This window comes from Homo sapiens, chromosome 17 (assembly GCF_000001405.40).
Source record: "Homo sapiens chromosome 17, GRCh38.p14 Primary Assembly".
Lineage (NCBI taxonomy): Eukaryota > Metazoa > Chordata > Mammalia > Primates > Hominidae > Homo > Homo sapiens.
Window position 1 is genome coordinate 49,818,901 of NC_000017.11, and position 17,992 is coordinate 49,836,892.

The following is a 17,992-nucleotide window of genomic DNA, read 5'->3' on the forward strand; positions in this document are numbered from 1 at the left end:
GCTGATTTTTGTATTTTTAGTAGAGACAGGGTTTCACCATATTGACCAGGATGGTCTTGATCTCCTGACCTCATGATCCACCCACCTCAGCTTCCCAAAGTGCTGGGATTACAGGCATGAGCCACTGTGCCCAGCCCTTGTTCTCATAATCACAATATAATTTGGCTCTAAGGCCTCTGGGGTGTCTCTTTTTCCTTCCCCTTCCTTTTTTATTTCCCAGGATTTCCATATGTTGAGCATCTATGACCCAGGTTTCCTGTGATTTCTGTCATTATACTCTTCTCCCCAGTTTGGTTGGTGATAACTGCTTTTTTATGTTCCCAGTTCAGGAGCATGTGGTCTGTAAGTTCAGGGCCCAGAACTGTTGCTTTGACTCAGGTTCTCCAGACCCTGGCACACTTGACTGCATAGGGCTAGAGTCATGGAGGGGAGGTGATTGGCGGCGATTGGTAGAAATATCAGTGCACAGGAAATAATGGGGTCAGAAGGTGGGGCACTGATACAGATGGCAGGCCGTGGAGATAAAGTAAAATGGTTTTACTGTGTGAAAGCGGGTATTTTTATTGATGTGAACTGCTTACCATTTATGCCTTTTTTCCTTTTCGTTTCTGGTTGTTGAGTGACACAAACCAATGAAATAGCCAAAAGGGCAAGAAATAGTAATAGAAGGAGAAAACAAAGAGTCTGAATAAATCTGAGAATCAAATAAACATTCTGAATATTTGAAAATCTTCCATATTATATGATATAAAAATCAGATTTCAGGAAATACCTAATTTATTCCATGCCTGTTCTTATTCCCGTTGCTTCAGGTGTGATCACTGAAATGAAATGATCTTCCTTTGGCTTGGCTTCTGTTTCTGAACAAATAATAATTGTTACATGAGTTTGGTTATTGTTGGGAAGAGCCAGCATGAGTAAAGGGGTAGAGATAGGAACAAACTACAGATGGAATTTTCTTGGATGGATTCCAGTTAATAAATATTTGGATTTACATATGACAAATTGGAACATGCTTCTTGAGTTGACAAAAAGAGTTGCAGTAAATTTGCTTAATAGAAAGTGTTTCATGGGCCAGGTGCGGTGGCTCATACCTGTAATCCCAGCACTTTGGGAGGCTGAAGTGGGAGGATTGCTTGAGGCCAGGAATTTGAGACCAGCCTGGGCAAAATAGTGAGACTCTGTTGCTTCAAAACCCTTTTGAAAAATTAACTAACCAGGCATGGCGCCATGCGCCTATAATCTTAGCTACATGGGAGGATCTTTTGAGCCCAGGAGTTCGAGGCTGCAGTGAGCTATGATCGTGCTATTTCAGCCTGGGTGACAGAGTGACACCCTATCTCAAAAAAAAAAACTTTTTTTTATACGTCTATACTTTTTAAACACTTTTTTCTTTTTTTTTTTTGAGACAGAGTCTCGCTCTGTCACTTAGGCTGGAGTGCAGTGGTGCAATGTCGGCTCACTGCAGCCTCCACCTCCCGGATTCTTCTGCCTCAGCCTCCAGAGTAGCTGGGATTACAGGCCCCCGCTGCCACACCTGGCTAATATTTGTATTTTTAGTAGAGACGGGGTTTCACCATGTTGGCCAGGCTGCTGTCAAACTCCTGACCTCAGGTGATCTGCCCACCTCAGCCTCCCAAAGTGCTGGGATTACAGGCGTGAGCCACCGCATCAGGCCTTAAACATTTTAAAATGTAAACCTTTTGAAGAATTCACCTAACAGCAGATGGCTGGCTGGCTGGCTGCATTAAAACAGTAAGCACTTGAGGGTGAGGAAAAGGGGGTACTTTGTGCTCCCTTGTGGCCAAGTGACCCTAGCTTCCTGCTGCTCAGCTAGGCTGCTTGCCTTTTTTTTTTTTTTTTTTTTTTCTTTTTTTGCCACAGGACTTTCTCTTAATTTCCTTATATAACAAAGGGAATGCACTTGCAGGGGAGAAGGGCAGACAGGTAGTGGTACATGGTTTTTATCATTGTGAGTGGGTTTTCTAATCTGAACAAAGAAGGCCATCATGGTTAGGTGGTAATGAGAAGTTATGGGTAAAGGTGAGAGTAAAGTACTTAGCCACCCTAAGCTGCTGGAAATAAGCTGCTTAAGAATTTCCTGTTGGCTTGAGGCATTTGGTAATAAGCAAGCGTATTGTTATTTATTTGGCCTTTATGTAGTGGGTGATTTTAATCTCCTGGGCTAAAGTAGTGCCAGAATGTAATCCAGAATACTTGTTCCAGATTGCTATAAAAGTGTCATAAATATATTCAAATGACTTTGGAAGCCTTTGTTTTATGGAAATAAAATCTCTGTTTTGCTGTATGTTCTCAGCTTGTCCAACTGTCCGGTAGCTCAGTTAACCACATTTGACCTGTCATTCCTTTTCCCTTTTGAGGAGCAGTCTTGTTGGGAGGCTTTGGTTCCCTGATGTGAATTTCATTGTCTTGCAGGCCAAATGTGTGTGGAAACACCCACCTGGTGATGAGATATATCGCAAAGGTTCAATCTCTGTGTTTGAAGTGGATGGCAAGAAAAACAAGGTAAAAAGTGGTGACTTTAGAAAGGAGTTGAAATGTTGTATATTCACAGGTTTCAGAAGGCATATGTTTTTTCTCCATCACACCTTGTGAAGGACATAGAACTCTTCTCTTGCCAAAATACACAATGTGTTTCATTAATAATTATGGTATGTTTGTGAATTTTAGGCCTTTATCTGTTTAGGAATCAGTGGCCCACACATGAACTCTGTTTCTCTGCTTCCAGATCTACTGCCAAAACCTGTGCCTGTTGGCCAAACTTTTTCTGGACCACAAGACATTATATTATGATGTGGAGCCCTTCCTGTTCTATGTTATGACAGAGGCGGACAACACTGGCTGTCACCTGATTGGATATTTTTCTAAGGTAAGCAGGATCTGGAGATTAAGAAGCCAATGGCCAGAGCAGGGTGATCCATGTTCGCAGTTGGGGGCTCAAATCACTGACAGGAAGAAGCTGTACTCTGGGCAATGATGACACCCCTTCCTTAAATTAAAAAAAAAAAAAAGGCAAACCCATGTATCAAAGATTGTTTAATGAAAATGCAGTTTTTATTAAAAGCTTCTGGTTCATTCATTTCTAGAATTGTGGACTGGAGCTGCCTATTAATAACTGGCCAGAGCCCTCCCTAGTAACTCACAAGCCCACATCTTGTAGTCAAACCAGTTCTGCTGGCTTTGCCTGCCTCTATGTTATTAGCTTAAAACCAGGAATATACTCTTTTTGCCTGATTGTTTAGCTGGGCTCCTTCTAGCACAGTGCCTTCAGTGATAACACTACTGCGCCTTTTAAAGACCCAAGGCCAGATTTTTTTTTTTTTTCTGACAGAGTCTCACTCTGTTGCCCAGGCTGGAGTACAGAGGTATGACCTTGACTCACTGCACCCTCTGCCTCCCAGGTTCAAGTGACCCTCCTGCCTCAGCCTCCTGAGTAGCTGGGATAACAGGCGCCTGCCACCACGCCCAGCTAATTTTTTGTGTGATTTTAGTAGAGATGGTGTTTTACCATGTTGGCCAGGCTGGTCTCGAACTCCTGACCTCAAGTAATCCACTCGCCTTAGCCTCCTAAAGTGCTAGGATTACAGGTGTGAGCCATTGCGCCCGGCCTAAGTCATAAAAGTTTATGACTTTTAGTATAACAACTTTATTGAAATATAATTCATATACCATAAATTCACGCACTGAAAGGGTACAATTTAGTGGTTTATAGTGTATTCACAGAGTTGTGCAATCAACCCAGTTTGCATTATCCTGAAAAGAAATTGATAGCAATCACTCCTATTTCTACTCAATCCCTCTCAGTTCTTCTTTCTCTATAAATTTCCCTATTTTGGACGTTTCCTACAAGTGGAATCACACATTTTGATTTGATTCAATGTGATTTTTTTTTTAATCCCTTTGCAGAATGGGGACTTACAGTGGTGTTTCCTTCCCTTCTCTTCCAGTAGGCAGCTCCTTTTCAAAAATTGCGTTTAAAGTGGGCTTCTATATACTGAGTCAGCAGTCTTAAACTTCTTGCCCTACTCTGTGGCTGTCAGGAGCCCAGAGTCAGCCTCCTTAAAATGACACTGGAGGTCTCAACTAGGGAAATCCTGGGATGATTAATGGCTTTGGCCATGATAAAGGGTGTGGTTATAACAGCTGTGAGCCTGGCAGCCACTCCTTGGGACTGGTTAGCCAGATGTTTTGCAAGCAGCCTTATTTTGCATCTGTGGAAGTGCTGAAACCTTTGGTTTCAAATCCTCATGACGTGTTCATCTGTTTGCTCTTGATTTTAGGAAAAGAATTCATTCCTCAACTACAACGTCTCCTGTATCCTTACTATGCCTCAGTACATGAGACAGGGCTATGGCAAGATGCTTATTGATTTCAGTAAGTGAAACTGCTAAGTCATTAGTTCCACAAGGCAGGGACCATGTGAATATTGTTTGTCTTTTTGTCCTGTGGTCTCTGCAATTCCTGGAATATAGTGAAGGTACATGGATATTTAGTAAATGAATGAACAAGTAGGAAAAACCTGAACATTGTCATTCTGCCTAATACACATTGAACATTGAAGGAGTACAGGACTCCTCCTTAATGAGTAGGAGGTACAGAGGATGATAAAGTAAGCTCTTTAGGATTATCCCAGTTTGAGACTTTTAAACAGCACATACATGCATGAGGCTTAAAATCTGGTCCTTGATGCTAGGGATTTCACTTTTGTAGGGACTTGTCTAGAGGTAATCCATGTACCCAATGGACCCTGTGCATAATATACTCTGCCCTCATTAATTGTGGATTCTGTCTTTGTGAATTTGCTTACTCACTAAATTTTATTTGTAACCCCAAAATCAATCTTAACATTTTTGTGGTCATTCGTGAACATGCACAGAGCAGCAAAAAGTAAGAGTCATGGATGCACACATTCCCAGCTGACTTCAGAGTTTTCAGCTCTTACACTGTAAACAAGTTCATTTTCAGTCTGGGAATGCCACATGGTTTTCGCCTTCTGTTGATTTTAAATGGCCCCTATGAGTAGTACTGATGTGTCTGGTGTTCCTAATCTCAGGAATACCTGGGGTACCTTACAGGGGTTAGGTAGCTTTCTTCAGGTGAATTAGAGAGTTGCTGGCAGTGAGTTCAATGTTAATGATATCAACAGTGTATATTAAATAAGGCATTTTTAAACAGAAACATAAAATAAGTTTATGTATTGATGGTTGACCAATATGTGACCAGAGGCTTGCAGGAACCTAACCCTCCCTGTATTTCCCGTAGGAGTAGTGGTTCAATATTCACTAATTCAGGTTCTCAGTGACTTTATAAAACATAACTGCTGTGAATAACAAGACTCTACTGTGTGTTATTCTATATTTGATGTCCACTGTCATAGGACAGGGTATATTGTAATCAAAATTGGAATTCCTAGAATTAGCCTTCCAAGCCTTCTTTCTTTCTTTCTTTCTTTTTTGAGACGGAATTTTGCTCTTGTTGCCCAGGCTGGAGCACAATGGCCCAATGTTGGCTCACTGCAACCTCCGTCTCCCGGGTTCAGGCAATTCTACTGCCTCAGCCTCACGAGTAGCTGGGATTACAGGCATGTGCCACCACGCCCAGCTAATTTTGTATTTTTTTAGTGGAGACGGAGTTTCTCCATGTTGGTCAGGCTGGTCTCGAACTCCCGAGCTCAGGTGATCCGCCCACCTCAGCCTCCCAGAGTGCTGGAATTACAGGCGTGAGCCACCTTGCCCGGCCACCTTCTTTCATTTTTAAGTCACCTGAGAAGAGATGAACTGGGAAGTGACATAAGAGGGGAACTATATATCTTTGAATAGGTAACACTGTTCTTATAAACTTGATTTTATAGAAATTTTTAAGCATTAACAAAAGTATAATAAATGCTTCTATACCCATCACCCAGCTTCAGTAATTACCGTTTTTTGGGGGGCTAATCTTGTTTTACCTACATTTTCACTTGCCATTATTTTGGTATCTCTAAAAGATAAGGTCTATTACACCTTAAAAAAAAAAGTCCTTCATGTCATAAATTGTGATATTCAAATTTCCCTGGTGTGATTTTGTTCTTTTTTTTATTTTTATTTTTTTAATACTCAGATCCAGGTAGAATTGATAGTGGGATTGAGAAATGTGGCTCATAATTCACTTTTAGTCTAAAACTTTCCACTCCCATCATTTTTTTCTTGCTGTGTTTTTGTTGAAGAAAGCAGGTTAGTTGTCTAAAAGGGTTCCCCAGATTATGAACTTTGCACACTGCATCTCCATAGTGTTGTTTTATATATTTTGTATAAATTGAATGTTAGGTGTTTAGACTTTACAACTAGAGGCTTCATCATTTGGGTTTTTTACACCCCGCACTATCTCATAGGTGGTACTGAGCTAATCTGTTCTTACCATTCAAAGATTTAAAAAATACTTAAAAACTAGGTAGTGAAGTGGCTTCACATTTTTGTTTCTCATCTCCCTTGTTTCCAACACACACCTACAGAGATTCATTATCAAAATAATGGTGAAGGCTTCCAGAGTTCTTTTAGTGCCTATTACAGTAGTGCCCTCCTTATCTGCCATTTCACTTTCTGCAGTTTCAATTACCTGTAGTCAACTGCGGTCCAAAAATAGGTGAGTACAGTACAATAAGATATTTTGAGAGACAGACAACCTTCACATAACTTTTATTACAGTATATTGTTATAATTGTTCTGTTTTACTATTACTCTCTTCCTGTTCTTAATTTATAAGTTAAACTGTAGCATAGATATGTGTTGATAGGAAAATACATAGTATATATAGGATTTGGTACTACCCACAGTTTTGGGCCTCCACTGGGAGTTTTGGAACACATTCCCTGTGAATAAGAGGGGACTCCTGTGTCATGTAAATGCAAATACACATTCTTCCCCTTTTGTTTATACAAAGGCAGTATACTATAGTTAACCACACAGTATTCCATTGAATGACTAAATCCTAATGGAGTGGACTGTGCTTCTTAAACCTTCTTCCATGTTGGCACACAGTTTTTTGCTATTAGGATAAGATCGAGTGTTGCTAGAAAAAGTCTGTATTTGTTCCCTGGCAGGTTATTTGCTTTCCAAAGTCGAAGAAAAAGTTGGCTCCCCAGAACGTCCACTCTCAGATCTGGGGCTTATAAGCTATCGCAGTTACTGGAAAGAAGTACTTCTCCGCTACCTGCATAATTTTCAAGGCAAAGAGATTTCTATCAAAGGTTGGTTTTTGACTCCTTGGAATGGTTGATTGTTACCCAAGAAGTTAACTCTACTGGGTATTGTGTTTCCCCTGAATGTGAGAACGGAAGGCCCACTGAATATGGACCACTGCGGAGACCCTCACTAAAGCTGCCTAGGAATCCAAAGCATTTGGCCCCTGGGAATGGTTATTAATTGGCTTCTCAAATCCAGAGTTGCCAACACTTTAATTCTTATAAAAGTCAAGAAGCAAAACTTCAGATCGTTTGGTTCATCTTTCTGAGAAAGACATCCCTGTGTATTTATGCAAGGGTGGAACAATTTAGTTTGATCTATATTTGATCCTGATTTCTAAGGGGCCAAGAGTAGCTTCTTGCTGTAATATCCTTTTGTGGTTATTTGGACTGGTCAAATGAATACTTTGTAAACTCCTTCTAAACAGATTGGGTTGAGTACAGAAGATTCTGTCCATTTGGATTTCCTTTAAGGGAAAGTAGACCTTGGTTGGGGGCAAAGGGGTGGGAACCTGCACTTTGGCCAGGTTGTCAGTACTTCTTCTGTTTCAGAAATCAGTCAGGAGACGGCTGTGAATCCTGTGGACATTGTCAGCACTCTGCAAGCCCTTCAGATGCTCAAATACTGGAAGGGAAAACACCTAGTTTTAAAGAGACAGGTAAGGTTCTCATCAGGGGCTTGCTCATTGCTGGATGTCCTTCAAGACTTAGCAGAGCAAAGTATGGGCCTTAAGACTGGAGAACCTTCCCTTAAAGGAGTTGGGCTACACGCCCCTTTTACTGGGTCTCATTTCTGTAGCTGGCAGTGATGCCTGTGTTGCCTTATCCTTATCAGAAGGTTTTGATAAGCTCCTGTCTCAAATTTGGATGACACAAGTTAAGCAGCTCCAGTTAAGCAGCTTTATGTTGTACAGCATTTCTGTCATTTGATGTTTTTCTTAGGTGGGAGGAAATTGCCCATCTGTAGAGGAATCTTCACAAATGCTGTCTCAACTCAAACTCACATCTAATTTTTTAAATTATTTCATATATACAATAAAGGTCGGTGAGCGATGATTTTCATTTCTCACTGAGGGTAAAGTAGGAAGAATGGATTAGATAGGAAAGCAGTTTATAAGTCAAAATATAGTATTTTTTTTGATACCCTAATATGTTGTTAAACCTTTGGCAATTCCTTCTTGGCGGTTAGTTATTTTGGAATCTATGTAAAGGCACTTGAGTTGAAAGTATGTAATCCTTTTTCCCATTGTTCTCCCTCAGGACCTGATTGATGAGTGGATAGCCAAAGAGGCCAAAAGGTCCAACTCCAATAAAACCATGGATCCCAGCTGCTTAAAATGGACCCCTCCCAAGGGCACTTAAAGTGACCTGTCATTCCGAGCCAGCGAACCCCAGCAGTAGGAATCCGTACCCTAGGGATCTGTCTGTCATTTCTCTGTTGCTCTTGTGATTGGCAAGTACAGTATCCTTTGGGAAGGCCATCCCCCTCAGGACTGTCCTGGCTCCGACCTTTGTGTACACTGCAGACGCTGGTTCTGAGGAACTGTTGTTTCGGCCTCAGTGAGGTTGCCTGGATGGGATCTGTATTAGACTTGAGTGCAGGTCTCTCAGCACTGACCCAAGGAGTTCTGTTATGGTACTGTACCTGTCCAGTCACTGGTTCTCTCCTCATGTCCTCTCGCCCCATGAGGTTGTGTTGTGTCTTCTAAGCGTGGTACTAGTGCTTGCCACCTGGTCACCAGACCTCCAAATATGGCTGCCACCACCAGGACCTTTCCAGTTACTCCTTATATGTGTGTTCTATGGAGGGGCAGGGAAAAGGTGGCACTTGTGAGTGTGTGTGGATTGGCAGGGGGTCCATTCACTTTGGGTTCCATCTTGCTTTAAATTTCTTCATTTTGATTAAGAGACCTCTTTTTGATCTGTATTGGGCTAACCAGAGCCAAATACTTTTGAAGAGTTTCCCAGGGACTAGTCATGGTAATAGCATATAATTGATCTGAATGAGATGGAGAGAAGAATGAAGGGGTGGTGGTTCTGGGTTTGATTTGAGTTCACCTGTGGGCAGTGGGCAGTGGGCAGTGTCTTGGTGAAAGGGAACGGATACTACTTTTTGCCTCACCGTAAAGTACTCACTAGTAAATATTTCCTTCTCTCTTTACTCCCACTTTTTACGTTTGCAGGTGCCAAAGTAATGTCCACTTTTCCCTTTCATGCTGCATATTAACTGGTTAATTATACTGCAGAAACCTTTTCACCTCCACTAGTCTGATACAGTACATCTGTACTTCCATATACCTTGCACTGATTTTGTCTGAGTGCCCTGGGAGAAGTAGAAAATGATTGAAAGTGACTTCCGTATCTCAGCCCATGACTCAGCAAGGCAGAATGGCCACCCCTGCCAAAGTTTGCTTCTCTTTTCAACAGTGCCTCACCCTCCCTCTAGGATTAAAGTGCTTCTGCCCTTCCACGAACTCCTCCTCCATTTCCTTTTTGGGATTTGTCACCATCCTTCTATTCTCTGGTCTTCTATTTTTGGTGTTGTTCAAGTGAAGGAAGAGATGTTCCCTCTAATTTCTCTCTAGCCCATTATAACCTGCTATCTTGGGGCAACTTTTGATGTATGACATGTCACCCTTCCCAACTTGGTCTCCTCCAACATGCTGTCTTCATGTGGAGCCCTCACCACAATCCCTGACTCCGGTCATTTGTGCCTTTCTCTTGTCATCTCTGTACACTACTTATATTCACTGTGGGTTGGGGGAGCTAATTTTAAGCATGTTCAGTGGCAGCTCCCCTCCAGTTTCAGTGTCACTGTTAAAATTTATCAAAAAGCAACTTCACTAGGGGTTTTCTTAAGGGATAAAGGCCTTTTACAGAAGCTAAACCCTTCCCCACATGTGGTAGAATGTGCTCTTCTATATCTACTCCTCAATAAAGCATGTTCTCTGCTCAAGTCTGTTTCATCTGGGGGCTCTCATTTATATATGAAAATGATGCACACGATCTGCTACTAATAGTAAATGCACTTGGGATTTGCTTTCCCTAGCAGTAAACTGTTGAGGGATGTGGTTTGTGGCTATGGAATGTTTTTCCCTGTGATACAGGCTGTCTGTAAAGATCAAGGGAGTGCTCACTCTGAACTTCTCTAGATGGTGGCACAAATTTGATCTGCCTCACTTTGGTTCCAGCTAATCAGTATACGTAGCAATGATTAGTCAGTATTACCCATTCTTTCACTAAGTGCCATTTTCCACTGATTTTAGGGGCAAAGGAACCAATAGGAAATTAGGATATATGGGGGTACAGTTGATGCCTGTAGGAGATGGGAACAGACATTCCTTCTCATCTCCAAGCTCATTCACCAGTATTGAGCAGTGTCACCTCTAATTATTGACTCTCTCGCAGGTTGAAATTATTCTTTTTGAAAATAGCTGCATTTTCATGTAAGATATACCCAGCACAGGAAAAGGGTGGCTGAGCACTAACCTCCGTATGGTGGAAAGGAGGAGGCTGGGAATTGTATGTGCTGGAATGGTTTCACTCACTGTGACCAGTAGTGGTGAGAACCCATACAGTTGAAGTTTTTTGCACAGTCCTGATCCCAGGTCTCCACTCGCTTTGCCATCCCACTTTACTCCCTAAAAATAAAAGGATTTATTATCTCATTTAAACCCCCACAGGTGTGGAAACAGAGTTTCACTTGCCTTGGCAACTTTGCATGAGACTATCCCATTTCATTCCGTTTTTTTTTTTTTGAGTCAGAGTCTGGCTCTGTTGCCCAGGTTGGAGTGCAGTGGCGCAGTTTTGGCTCACAACCTCTGCCTCCCGGGTTCAAGTGATTCTTCTGTCTCAGCCTTCCGAATAGCTGGGATTACAGGTGCCTGTCACCATGCCCAGCTAATTTTTGTATTTTTAGTAGAGACAGGGTTTCGTCATGTTGGTCAGGCTGATCTCGAACTCCTGACCTCAGGTGATCCGCCCACCTTGGCCTCCCAAAGTGCTGGGATTACAGGCGTGAGCCACTGCACCCGACCTATTTTTTTTTTTTTTTTTTTTTTTTTTTTTAAAAAAAGACAGTCTCACTCTATCATCCAGTCCGGAATGCAGTGGCATGATCTCAGCTCACTGCAATGTCTGCCTCCTGGATTCCAGTGATTCTCCTGCCTCAGCCTCTCAAGTAGCTGGGATTACAGGTGCAGGCCACCTGGCTAATTTTTGTATGTTTAGTAGAGACAGGGTTTTGCCATGTTGGCCAGGCCAGTCTCAAACTCTTGACCTCAAGTGATCACCCGCCTCATCCTCCCAAAGTGCTGGGATTACAGCCGTGAGCCTCTGCACCCAGCTTTTAACTCCCTCTTATCTGCATAACAGAAGCTTAGCTGCTTAAGCTCCTTTATTAGAAGAGCAAAAGTCTGAAATTATTCCTGAAACCTGCTCAATGGAAGTACCTACTCTATTGGTTGCTTCCCATATGGTTGTCACTGTACCTTCATACTGCCTCATTTGACCCTCATATTAGCCCTGTACAGTAGATGGGTACACTGGTTTGCCAAAGGAGACCTGGAATCCAAGGTGGAAGTAAGCAGCAAAGCCAGAAACTTCAATTCTGGTCTGTCTACCTTGATAGCCTGCACCCTCCCCTCTACCGTTTTCTTCCACTATTTTTGATTCCTTAATGATGAATCATCCTCTCCCTTCTAGTTGGATTTGTTTCTAATGGCTTCCATTACAAGGATAATAATGAAACTGGTGAAAACTTTCAGGCAAAAGGATTTTCTTTTTATATTTTTTCTTATTATTTTTTAATTATTAACCAAATTAACTCATTACAGTAAAAAGGACTGATTTTTAAGCCAGCTGTGATAGCTCTGTAATAGTCTGTAATCTCAGCACTTTGGGAGGCCAAGGCGGGCAGATCGCTTGAGTCCAGGAATTCGAGACTAGCCTGGGCAGCATGGTGAAACCCCAGCTCTACAAAAAATAGAAAAATCAGACGTGGGCACATGCCTGTAGTCTCAGCTACTTGGGAGGCTGAGGCACGAGAATCGCCTGAACCTGGGAGGCAGAAGTTGCAATGAGCTGAGATGATGCCACTGCACTCCAGCCTGGGTGACAGAGTGAGACCCTGTCTCAAAAACAAAAAACAGAATTGATTGATGTTAGTTGGCTTTAGAAGCAGCAAGTTTAGGGGGCTACAGAGCTAAACCAGGAAGCAAAAGATGTGCCTCATTCTGGCATTGTTTCTGATTTAGGAATAAACTGTTCAGTAAGCACTGTCCCTTTACTTCCATGGTTTTCTTCATTCCTCACCACAGCACAGTAAGGTGGATATTATAGTCTTCTTCTAGATGAAAAATTGAGGCTCATAGTGGTCTTGCTGCTGTGTCATAGCAATAGAATGAGAGAGCCTTGCTTCCCTGAGTCCAAATCCCATACTTTTGGCATTGTTATGAGGTCTGGTCACCTGATGCTTCCATGCTATTTTCCCATTTCTTATCTGGGGATAATGAGTCATATTAAGTAATTTTTTTTTTTGAGACGGAGTTTCGTTCTGTCACCCAGGCTGGAGTGCAGTGGTGCGATCTTGGCTCACTGCAAGCTCTGCCTCCCGGGTTCATGCCATTCTTCTGCTTCAGTCTCCCGAGTAGCTGGGACTACAGGTGCCCACCACCACGCCCAGCTAATTTTTTGTATTTTTAGTAGAATGAGGTTTCACCGTGTTAGCCAGGATGATCTCGATCTCCTGACCTCGTGATCCACTCGCCTCAGCCTCCCAAAGTGCTGGGATTACAGGCGTGAGCCATTGCACCCAGCCATTTTTTTTTTTTTTAAGACGACGTCTCACTCTGTCACCTATGCTGGAGTGCAGTGGCGTGATCTAGGCTCATTGCAACCTCTGCCTCCCAGGTTCAAGCGATTTTCCTGCCTCAGCCTCCCAAGTAGCTGGGATTACAGGTGCCCACCACCTCGCCTGGCTAATTTTTGTATTTTTAGTAGAGATGAGGTTTTGCCCTGTTGGCTAGGTTGGTCTTGAACTCCTGACCTCAGGTGATCCACTCACCTCAGCCTCCCAAAGTGCTGGGATTACAGGCAGGAGCCACTGCGCCCAGCCAAGTAACTTTTAACAGTGTGGTATAACCTTTAAATGACAAGGTGATGCTTTTGACTTGTCCTCAACTTTGATTTGTACTGATTTGTCCCTATAGTTCTGGGTGGGGTGGGTCAAAACAAAGTCTCGAGCTGTACCAGGATCAAGCAGCACAGCTCAGCCATGATCCTTTTACCACTTTTTTCTTCTGTCCTTGAGACTCTAATTAAAGCACTGGATTTTTAAAAATCACCCTTGTAAATATGCACACATTTGTCTATAGTTGAGGAAATTGTGCCGTTGAAGTCCATTCTTGGACATGGAGTTAAGAAACCCTGGTTTGAGAAAAAGCCCCAGTGAGACAGCAGGAATCCTTTTACCATACAACCCTCAACTAGTTTAGTGTGCTCAAGCTCAAATAACCAATCCCATCAAGTGAAAAGAATGGCAGCAGGGAGAAGGCCTGGCTCACTGAGGCTCTCAGCATTAGTTTCCTCTACCTCTTGTGTCTCACAGGTGCACATATGTACAGCATATCAAAGTGTTGAATGTCATGAGAATAAAATATGAAAACTACTTTGCTGAATGATAGTATGTGATGTGTGCTAGGACTTCTAGAAGCCACCCTTTGCTTTGCTGTTCATTGGGATCATGGAATCGGACCTCAGCTGGTTTTGCCTCAGCACTTTCTTTCACAAAATTATGTGTGACTGCCTCCTCCAGACTGTTTCCTGCTGATAGGGGCAGTTTAATAGCCTTCTTCCTGTGTGGTATCTGCAACAAAATCCCAATGAATGTCACCAAGAAGGAAACAAAGGATTGCCCAGCGATGAGAAATGTCCCTGGTGCCAAAACATCAGTTTGCCCCTAACCTCTTGTGCAATACCTTTAAGTCCAGGTCATGTTGTTACCATTTGGGGGTTTGCGGATTTGTTTACTTGTGCCCAAGAATGGAGAAAATAACCTGTACTATTGTACAACTCTGGCTCCATGGCTCCTCACAAATGTTCCATGTGAGATATAAACATCTTTATCCTCGACAAGTCATGTTCATTCCAAGAAACCAGTCTTTGTTCTTAATTGGACATTTGTTTCTGCAAACAGCTTACCATACATTCAATTCCAAAGTTATCAGAAACCTACACTCTTATCTCACAAATTTAGAGGTGTGGTAGATCATCTCCAAAGATGGCCACCAACAGTTGCTCTCATCCTCTGTGCACGTGCTATTTCCAATAAGGTCTATTTTTTTCTACAGTGAGGGCTGAACTTGTGACTTGTTTTGACTAATAGGATATGGAAGTGATATTTTGGCAGCTTCCACTTTTGCTCTTGAAAATAAGCTGACACGTTTCCAAACGAGAAGCTTGGGCTAAATTACTGAATGGTGAGAGACGATGCATAGGAGAACCAAGGTGCTCTAGTCACAGCACTAAAAGCCCAGACTTGTGTCTCTTGAAGGTTTCAACCCCGCCAGACTCCCAGCTGAACGCACCCTCATGAGTGGCCCTTGCTGGTACCACATGACACTAAAGACATCTAGCTGAGTCCTGTTAACCCAGAGAATTATGAGAATACTGTTTTAACCACACGTTTTGGAATGGTTTGATACATGGCAATGGAGAAGTGAAACAAGGGGACTTCGGAAACTAAAGGGCTGGAATTCAGTTTGCCTTGTAGGTTGATTGGAAGCCAGATGTGCCTAGAGGAAGGCTACCACCTTGTGCAATTCCAGGGGACACTGTTTATGTTCCGTGTAAATGGCAGCCTCAGTTCACCTCATTTGGTTATTTATCGTGTCTTCGCTGTCAGTCAAATTGCTTCTGAGATAACTGGCTGGCCTTGGAATTCTTAGCCACCTCCTTAAGCGGATCAGGAAAACTGAAGAATATCCTTCTGTATGTATGTATGTATTTATTGATTGATCGATTTATGAGACAGGGTCTCCTTCTGTCACCCAGGCTGGAGTGCAGTGGTACGATCACGGCTCACTGCTGCGTCGCCTTCCCAGGCTCCAGCTATCCTCCCACCTCAACCTCCAGAGTAGTTGAGACCACAGGCGTGCACTACCACGCCCGGCTACCTTTTTGTATTTTCAGTAGAGACGAGGTTTCGCCGTGTTGCCCAGGCTGGTTCAAGCGGAGCTCAAGCAATCAGCCTGCCTCGGCCTCCCAAAGTGTTGGGATTACAGGCATGAGCCGCTGCGCCCAACCTTCTTCTGCTGTCGAGATACTGCTCATCACCTGCCTGCTCCAGAATTCATGTGGCTTCTCATTGCTCAATGGATTAAGTTCATGTTTATCCTGGCTTTCAAGTCTTTCCGTAAGCTGACTCAACCTACATAGCTTTCATCATTCCCTTACACATAACCTCAACGTGCAACAGGATTAGTCTATTATTCCCTTTCTTGTGTTTACTGAGAAAGCCTCCACTTCAACGTTCCATGAAGTGTGTTCCATTAAATACCAAAGTATAGGCAAAAAGTTCTGTGGTCAAATAAATTTGGAAAACACAGAGTGTTTCCAAAGTTAGTATCAGGCCAGGCATGGTGGGAGGATCACTTGAGCCCAGGAGTTCGAGACCAGCCTGGGCAACATAGGGAGACCCAATCCCTACAAAAAAATTAGTTGGGCATGGTGGTGTGCACCCGTAGTGCCAGCTACTCAGGAGGCTGAGGTAGGAGGATCACCTGAGCCCAGGAAGTCAAGGCTGTGGTCAGCTGAGATCCCACCAGTGTGCTCCAGCCTGGGTGACAGAGCAAGACCCTGTCTCAAAAAATAAAAAAATAAAGATAATACCAGTATGTTTCTTGACTTGAAGATTTCCCAAAACCTTCAGTAGGCTAATGGGTGTTGGAGTTTTCCAAGAAGACACAGGATGTAACATTTCCTAAAATGATTTGATCTGGAAGGAGCCTCTTGGACTGGTGTCCTGGGTAGGGCTTTTGGAAATGTTTCTTTCCCACCCGAATAGGCCCCTAATTCTGCTTGAGACTTGTCTGAACTATCATGGCATAGACCAAGTGTGGGGCTTGATGTATGTGAAGTCAAGCCACCGTAGCCTAAATCCTGGCTGTCATTTCCTTTGTAACTTCAAGCAAATGGCTTATCCACATTGGCAGAATGGGGATAAAATTGTGGAAAATTCTCTTGCAGTGCTTGCCATGTATTCATTCATGTAGTCAGTAAACAAGTTCTGCTGTGTCCACCATCTAAGGTGGGAATTAGTTGAGTCTGGGGAACCAGTGGTAAGCCCTGTCTAAAAAAGGGCCTTTATCATGGGAGCTGAAAGATGAGTTAGCAGGATGGGGGCAATATGGAGTAGAGGGACTGGGGCAGTGTCCAGATCCCAGAGCAGGCCAGCATTTGGTGTGTGTGTCTGAGAGAGCCTGGTGGCGAGTGTGACAACACAGAGGAGAGGGATTAGAGAGCACGGGGCCCTGGAGGTTTCTGCAAGAATGTCAAGTGTATGCTAGGACACCGTTGGACTGTGGCCGACAAGGAATGGACGCGATCCTATTTCCCATTTTAAAATGTCACTCTCTGGTGGACAAACGCTGGGGGTGGCTGGCTGGCAGGAGGGTGGAAAGCAAGGAGGTCTGCCAGGAGGCTACTGCCCTCCAAGACAAGGGAGGAGGGTGGCTGCTACCAACAGTGACAAGATGGCAAGTAGTAGGTGGACTCAAGATGGATTGTGGAAGGTTCATCAGCTAGGGGATAATGAGTTAGGTGTGAGGAATTGAGGGGAACTCCCAGGTTTGTAGCTGGGTGTGTGGAGGTGCCGTTTGTAGAGATGCGGAAGATGGTGAGGAGTAGTTTTGGGGCAGTGGATCAACAGTTCAGTGTATGGACAGGTTGAGTGAGAACTTTGGGACGTGTTCAGTAAGTAGCAGCTGCTACTATTTATTTCAGTTACTTGTATTAAGTTTGGCTCTCTAACGAGACTCCTTGAGGACAGGAAATGTGAGTCCGTCACAATGCTCTCCAGGGACCTCTCATGTGCCAAGCACTATTGTTGGCGCTGAGGGCACAAATATAATAAGATGTGGTCTGTGTTATTCCGAAACCCTGTTTTGCAGGGGAGGTAAATCATTAATTATAACATCAACATTGTAACATACAGGAAGTGCTGAATGAAAGAACTTGTAAGGCATTTCGGGAATGCCAAGGAGGGAATGGACGAGTGTTTCCTGGGCTGGAAAACCTTTACAGAGAAATGGATCTTGGCAAAGAATTCACTCACCAGGATGGAAAGAATGGCATGTGCAGAAGCCAGAAGCAGGAGTGAACGTGGTGAGCTTGAGAAAGATAGGACTGGGGAGCAGAAGGCGGAATTTGCGTCCGTTAGTACATCTTGGCTCTCCTATAATACTGTGAGGTCTTCAAGGGCAAATTCCAATCTCACACTTCATTCATATCCCCAGTCCCATCGGAGTTCCTAGTGAAATGCTGGCACATAGATGAAACTGTTTGGTGAGTTCACTTTTTTCCTAAATGTCCCCGACTTCAAACACAAGAATGAGGTCTTCAGCCCTCTTTGCTGGTGCTTTGAGTTGGGTTATTGCAGTGAACCACCTCTTGGCACCTCGCCGGTGGCTGGGTGGGGTGGGGCAGGCACCGGGGATGCCTGGTGGGTTAGGAGGTTAGGAGTGGGTGAGATGG

General features: G+C 43.5%; 1 protein-coding gene across 6 annotated transcripts in view, besides 1 other annotated feature; it reads left to right on the plus strand.

The window, feature by feature from the left end:
• KAT7 (lysine acetyltransferase 7) overlaps positions 1-16,126 on the plus strand; it is a 46,346-nt gene extending 30,220 nt beyond the window's left edge. For all 6 annotated transcript variants that reach the window (NM_007067.5, NM_001199155.2, NM_001346706.2 and 3 more), the window contains 6 exons: positions 2,437-2,526; positions 2,750-2,890; positions 4,302-4,395; positions 7,100-7,246; positions 7,793-7,899; positions 8,501-16,126. In NM_007067.5, the coding sequence (NP_008998.1) occupies positions 2,437-2,526; positions 2,750-2,890; positions 4,302-4,395; positions 7,100-7,246; positions 7,793-7,899; positions 8,501-8,602 (681 nt within the window). In that variant the 3' untranslated portion in view covers positions 8,603-16,126. The remainder of the gene's footprint in view (positions 1-2,436; positions 2,527-2,749; positions 2,891-4,301; positions 4,396-7,099; positions 7,247-7,792; positions 7,900-8,500) is intronic.
• Positions 14,957-15,169: a silencer, noted in NCBI's record as "fragment chr17:47911219-47911431 (GRCh37/hg19 assembly coordinates)". NCBI's record gives its function as "represses an EF-1alpha promoter that drives an FKBP-Casp9 reporter gene in an ReSE screen in HepG2 liver carcinoma cells {active_cell/tissue: HepG2}" and the evidence as "EXISTENCE:reporter gene assay evidence [ECO:0000049][PMID:32094911]".